This window comes from Homo sapiens, chromosome 11, assembly GCF_000001405.40.
Source record: "Homo sapiens chromosome 11, GRCh38.p14 Primary Assembly".
NCBI classification, from domain to species: Eukaryota; Metazoa; Chordata; class Mammalia; order Primates; family Hominidae; genus Homo; species Homo sapiens.
In genome coordinates this window covers 38,151,745-38,156,592 of record NC_000011.10, presented here as the reverse complement: position 1 = coordinate 38,156,592, position 4,848 = coordinate 38,151,745, and the positions used below count along the sequence as shown (strand labels likewise).

Below are 4,848 nucleotides of genomic sequence, written 5' to 3'. Positions count from 1 at the left end.
AATGGCAAGTAAATTGATTTGTGCAAAATATACAACTAGCTATGAGCAGATATAAAGCCCAACTAATAGGTTTTAATTAACTCCACATACTTGTGCTATTATCTTATAAATAATAACTTACTCTAGTACCGGAGGGTCTGTCTAACCAAAGTTTTAAATTTTATATGATGATGATTAAAACATATTCTCAAATCCAAAGGAAATATAGGTTAGCAGAATTTGGTAGCATTGATCTAGATAGCTATCAATGTAAATATGAAAGACTAGTTCTTTAAGGTTATTTTACTTTGTTTTTTAATTCTCAAGACAGGTCAGTCATACTTTTCTACAATAAATTATCTTTTCCTTTCTCATTTCAAAGACTCATTTCAAAGGACTGCCTTCTTGTCCTTTTCCAGAAAACTATGGGAATTAGAAAAAAGGAAGAATCATAAGAATGTTCATTATAGTTTTGACCCATTGACTTAACTATTCAGGACTAGAGTTCCTAAGAACATTTAAAGTATACTGCCTTGCGGTGTGTTGATTTTTAACTTACTGAGTTATTGAGCAGCTTCCTCTTATTTTTGTCAAATGCCTATAAATCATGACAAAGTCAGTAAATGAACCATATATTTATGGAAATTTATTTCCTGCTAATTTTTCTTCATAGTATCCAGGGTGTGCTATTCCACTCTGTGAAAATTTTATGTGTGCTATAGTTAGTAATGTGTAAGATTGAGATTTCACACTTATCAATATGCTACTTTCATGTAAGTTTTGATAGGTGAGGGATATGAGCTAAGTCTGCAAACCTGGATGTGCACACCAAATCATGGATTAGCAAATCACATTTTCTATGAAGGCAGTGGACCACTTCAAAGACAGAGAGGAGAATTTTTTGGAAGGTAAATTGTAGCCCATCATTATAAGTACTTTACGGGACTTTTAAACATGTAATGAAAAAAAGACTCTATGTTTTGGGTCACCATGTTAGAAAAGTTTTCCAGAGACCAAAGATAACAGGAGTCATTTGCAAATTAAAAGAGACTGACCAAAATGTATTAACATATATATAGTCATAAATATCTGAAGAAAACCGATGGCAAACAATATATTGCAAGATAGTATGGTATTATTCTGAGACAAAAAGAGCCTTAAGTATTAAGTAGCATAGAAATAATAGTCTTATTCAAAGAAAGGACAATCTGGAAATCAATTATGTACACAACATGTATGAGCTTAGCAAGATATAGTCCAGGTAATGACACCCAACAATGGTTGCCATCATAATATAACATTTGCATATCTTAAATTTTTATGGTTTTGGTAAGAATAATAATTCATAGTAGATTTTACAATTCCCAAAGGAAAATCTGCAATATCACATTTGATCCACACAACGATAATGTTTTCCAGTGACAGGTTAGCAGCCTTTTATTATCACCATTTTTAGAAGAAAAATATTTATCTAGAGTGGTCAATGACAGGATTTGAACTTGAACCTGAGTCCTTTGAGTTCAGAGCTCATACTATTGTATTCTATTTCATTTATTTATTCCAAGAGTGAACTCTCTTCTGATAATTCACATAAAATAACACACTTAAGTCTTTATTGATTAGTAGTATTTGTGTCCATGTGAACAAACACATATTGATATTTTTCAACAAGTTAATTGTGAAAATAGCAAAATATTTAAAGTCAAGGTTAAAAATATCAAAATACACTAAAAAGTCTTAACAAACACCAGTCTCTGTATTCACTTCATGCAGTTTTGTTCCTCAGAGGCAAACGTTTTTAACTATTTCATTTATTTTATTTTATTTTATTTATTTTATTTTATTTTATTCTCTACTCTCAAGGAGCATTCTTGTTCAGGCTATTTTTACTGACATGTAATTTGGATGATTGCCCTCTTTATATCTTTATTTTTTGCTTTGCAACTCATGGACTAGTAATATCCTAAGTCCCTGTCTGACTGAGGTTTCCAGCAGGGCAAATTCTAACTAGTAGTGGCCTCAGCACCTGAGGTTTCTCCTTTTGTTAAAGAAGAATTTAGTCACATACATTTTTACATCATTTGTTACTCTGACTAAATATATATAAGATTAAGGCATGATAGGAGTTTTTATTTCTTACAAATACTTTACATTCCACTTAAATAAACTTATTATTAAAAACGACTGAGTCTACAAGTTCCTGTATTGGATTTGAAAACAAGGAATCTACTTATAGTTTTAAGAGATACATTAAAATTTATATGAGAGTAGGTTTGCACTGCCCTCTATTCATTGTCTTACATTTATCAACAGATTGAAACTCTTGTTAGAAAATATTGCATGCTGATAAGAATTGAGAGGGTTCAGAACAGAAATAACCTTGAGTCAGTCCTTTATTCACCCTTTCACTTTCTTTTCTCACTCCTTTAAAGACCCACCACAAAGCCCCACAGATATTCAAGGGGAAAGCCTGCCACCAAGTAACACTAACATACAGTAAACCAAGCATTTTACTGCATTTTCTTACCACAAAGATTAGCTCATCTCTTTATATCCCAAGGTGTTTCAAAATCAAAATAAATTGCTTTGCATCTTACAGGCATTTAGGCGTTTTGTGGCTCTTTGGCCACAAAACTACTTAAGATACAATCATGACAGTCTGTTCACTTTCTTTGATTTCAGTATCTAATAGAAGTTGAAATTCCTTTCCCATATTTTTGAAGGCGTAGTCCAATTCTGGAATGAATTTATCAGTGGACATCAAAATCTAAAAACAGATGTGTTCAAATGAAAGAAAACTTCATGAGGCTCATAATCAATTGAGACAGCTGGGTAGCAAGATATAAAGATATAGACACTAGAAAAAAGAATATATGGCTTGTCCTTTGGCACACATTTAGTAACATGCCTTGGAATCCTGTGAAATATTAATGAATCCCTTTGAGGTAATTTGTTTCCAATGATTAGTCCAGTAGAGTCCATAGCATAAAAAAGGACAGAAGGTCTGAAAATAAACACTATATTCTGAATTCATAGGTTAGTAAAGTCAGGACTATATGAATTGTATATTTTCAAGAAAAAACCAACCCATTTTTTTATTTTTATTCATTTATTTTTATTGATATATAGTGTTTTACATATCTGTGGAGTATGTATAATATTTTGTTGCATGCATAGAATATGTAATGATCAAGTCAGGGTATTTGGAGTGTCCATCACCTTGAATATTAATTGTTTCTATGTGTTGGGAACATTTCAGGTCTTCCAGCTATTCTGAAATACGCAATACATGATTATTAAGTATTGCCACTGCATGCTGCTATGAAACAGTAGAACTCATACTTCCTATCTAACTGCATGTTTGTACTAATTAACCAGCTTCTCTTCATCCTTCCCTTCCTCCCACCCATGTAAATTACTCAGACTCTGGTATTTATCATTCTACTCTCTACCTCCATGATATCAACTTTTTAAGCTCCCATATAATGAGTCGTGAGAATATGGGAAATTTATCTTTCTGTGTCTTAACATAATAACTTTAATTTCATTCATGTTGCTGCAAATGACATTATTTTTTTAATAGCTGAATAGTATCCTATTGTGTGTGTGTGTGTGTGTGTGTGTGTGTGTGTGTGTGTACTTATTTTCTTTATTCATTCACCTGTTGATGGGCACTCAGGTTTCTTCCACATCTTTGCTATTGTTTTCCATAGTGTCTGCATTAATTTACATTCTCTCTTCTCTGTATCCTTGCTAACATCTGTTTTTGTTTTTGTCTTTTTAATAGTATCCATTCTAACTAAGGGAAGATGAGATGTCACTGTGGTTTTGATTTACATTTCCTTGGTGACTAGTGATGTTGATTTACATTTCCCTGGTGACTAGTGATGTTGAGGATTTTTTCTTACCTATGTATTGGCCATTTGTATGTCTTCATTTGAGAAATGTGTACTCATGTGCTTTGCCCACTTTTTAATGAGTTTTTCTTTGTTTTTTACTGTTGAGTTATTGAGCTCCTTGTATATTTTGAATATTACTCCTTTATTGGAGTAATAGTTTGAAAATATTTTCTCCATTTAAGGTTGTCTATCCAATCTGTTGATTGCTTCCTTTGTTATGCAGACGATTTTAAATTTGACTAAGTCTTATTTGTCCTTTTTTGTTTTTATTTTCTGTGCTTTTGAGGTCTTAGTCATAAAATCTTTGTGTAGACCAATGTTCTAAAGTGTTTTTGTATGTTTTCTTCTACTAGTTTTATAGTTTGAGATCTGATATTTAAGTCTTTAGTTCATCCTGAGGTGATTTTTGTATATGGTGAGAGGGATCCAATTTCATTCCTCAGCCAATTGATATTCATTTTTTCCAGGATAATTTATTGAAAAACATGTCCCTCCCCCAATATATATTCTTTGCCCTATCATAATAAGGGAAATTCAAAACACCATTAGACAAACACTATGGTAATAATTGTTGCAGGCAAGATTGATTGATTAATAGAAGCTCAAATCAGTGGGTGAAAGTTCCCAGAGAAACATAGTACTTGCATACTCTCATAGTATCTCCTTCAAGATACATATTAATTAGACAAATAAAAATGACAACCGTGCCATAAAGAAAGCCAACAATCACCACTTTAATTAATTGATTACCATGTGCCTCAGCAATAGTAAGATATGTAGAGATTAGGTACTCCAGGATATGATGCACTAAGAAGGGCGTATTACTTCTATGATATTCAACATAACCGTGAAGAAATCAGAAAAACCCACATTCTACAAAATACTTGACGAGCAATATTTAAAACTGTGACAGTAGTGAACAAATTGAGAATCCATCATAGATTATAGAAAACAAAGGAAATGACAATTA

General features: G+C 32.1%; 1 annotated feature.

Moving 5' to 3' along the window:
* Positions 3,527-4,246: an enhancer, noted in NCBI's record as "OCT4-NANOG hESC enhancer chr11:38173897-38174616 (GRCh37/hg19 assembly coordinates)". NCBI's record gives its function as "activates a minimal SCP1, AML or CMV promoter by ChIP-STARR-seq in primed H9 embryonic stem cells {active_cell/tissue: H9 hESC(primed)}" and the evidence as "EXISTENCE:reporter gene assay evidence [ECO:0000049][PMID:30033119]".